At 37.6% G+C, this 2,084-nt stretch overlaps 1 annotated feature.

Moving 5' to 3' along the window:
- Window positions 416–979: an enhancer, noted in NCBI's record as "OCT4-NANOG hESC enhancer chr9:66809156-66809719 (GRCh37/hg19 assembly coordinates)". NCBI's record gives its function as "activates a minimal SCP1, AML or CMV promoter by ChIP-STARR-seq in primed H9 embryonic stem cells {active_cell/tissue: H9 hESC(primed)}" and the evidence as "EXISTENCE:reporter gene assay evidence [ECO:0000049][PMID:30033119]".

Here is a 2,084-nt window from a genome sequence, read left to right as displayed (position 1 = left end):
TACTACAAAAAGAGTGTTTCCAATCTGCTCTATCAAAAGAAAGGTTTAACTCTGTGAGTTGACTGCACACATCTCAAAGAAGTTTCTGAGAATGCTTCTGTCTAGTTTTCATATGAAGACATTTCCTTTTTCACTGTAGGTCTCATAGCACAACAAATGTCCACTTGCAGATTCTACAAAGAGAGTGTTTCAAAACTGCTCTATAAAAAGAAAGGTTCATCTCTCTGACTTCACTACACACATCACAAAGAAGTTTCCGAGGATGCTTCTGTCTAGTTTTCATGTGAAGGTATTTCCTTTTTCGCCATAGGCCTCAAAGCCCCCCAAATATCCACTTCCAGATACTACAAAAGAGTGTTTCAAAACTGCTCTATGAAGAGGAATGTTCAATTCTGTGAGTTGAATGTAAGCATCACAAAAAGTTACTGAGAATGCTTCTGTCTAGTTTTTTTGTTAAGATATTTCTTTTTCACCGTAGACCTCAAAGCACACCAAATGTCCACTTGCAGATCTACAAAGAGAGTGTTTCAAAACTGCTCTATCAAAAGAAGGGTTCAACTCTGTGAGTTGGATGCACACATCAGAAAGATGTTTCTGATAATGATTCTGTCTAATGTTTATGTGACGATATTTCCTTTTTCACCTTAGGCCTCAAAGCGCTCCAAATGTCCCCTTCCAGATACTACAAAAAGAGTGTTTCAAAACTGCTCTATCAAAAGAAAGGTTCAAGTCTGTGAGTTGAGTGCACACATCACAAAGAAGTTTCTGAGAATGCTTCTGTCTAGTTTTTATGTGAAGATAGTCCCGTTTCCAAAGAAAGCGTCAAAGCTGTCCAAATATCCAATTGCAAATACTACAAAAAGAGTGTTTCCAATCTGCTCTATTAAAAGAAAGTGTCAACACCGTGAGTTGAATGCACACTTTACAAAGAAGTTTCTGAGAATTCTTCTGTCTAGTTTTTATGTGAAGATACTCCCGTTTCCAATGAAAGCCTCAAAGCTGTCCAAGTATCCACTTGGAAATGCTTCAAAAGGAGTGATTCAAAACTGCTGCAGCAAAAGAAAGGTTCAACTCTGTGAGTTGAGTACACACTTCACAAAGAAGTTTCTGAGAATGCTTTTGTCTCGTTTTTATGTGAAGATATTTCCTTTTTCACCATAGGCCACCAAGCGCTCCAAATGTCCACTTGCAGATTCCAGAAAGAGTGTTTCAAAACTGCTCTATAAAAAGGAATGTTCAACTCTGTGAGTTGAATGCAAACATCACAAAGAAGTTTCTGAGAATGTTTCTGTCTGGTTTTTATATGAAGATATTCCCATTTCCAAGGAAAGCCTCAAAGCTATCCTAATATCCACTTGCAAATTCTACAAGAAGAGTGTTTCAAAACTGCTCTATCAAAGGAAAGATTTAAATCTGTGAGTTGAGTACACATATCACAAAGAAGTTTCTGAGAATGCTTCTGTCTAGTTTTTATGTGAAGATATTTCTTTTCACCATTGGCCTCAAAGCGCTCCAAACGTCCACTTCCAGATTCTACAAAAAGAGTGTTTCAAAACTGCTCTATGAAAGGGAATGTTCAACTCTGTGAGTTGAATGTCAACATCACAAAGAAGTTTCTGAGAATGCTTCTGTCTAGTTTTTATGTGAAGATATTCCCGTTTCCAACGTAGGCCACAAAGCGTTCCAAATGTGCGCTTGCAGATTCCACAAAAAGAGGGTTTCAAAATTTCTCTCTCAAAAGAAAGGTTCAACTATGTGAGCTGAGTGCACACATCACAAATAAGTTTCGGAGAATGCGTCTGTCTAGTTTTCATGTTAACATATTTCCGTTTTCACCACAAGCCTCAAAGCACACCAAAAGTCCACTTGCAGATTCTACAAAGAGAGTGTTTCAAAACTGCTCTATCAAAAGAAGAGTTCAATTCTCTGAGTTGAATGCAGAAATCACAAAGATGTTGCTGATAATAATTCTGTCTAGTTTTTAAATGAAGATATTCCTGTTTCGAACGAAGGCCTCAAAGTGCTCCAAAGGACCACTGTAGATTCTGCAAAAAGAGTGTTTCAAAACTGCTCTATGACAAGGA

Source organism: Homo sapiens, chromosome 9 (genome assembly GCF_000001405.40).
Source record: "Homo sapiens chromosome 9, GRCh38.p14 Primary Assembly".
Lineage (NCBI taxonomy): Eukaryota > Metazoa > Chordata > Mammalia > Primates > Hominidae > Homo > Homo sapiens.
Note: the sequence above shows the minus strand (reverse complement) of the source record. Positions and strands in the feature narration are given on the sequence as shown.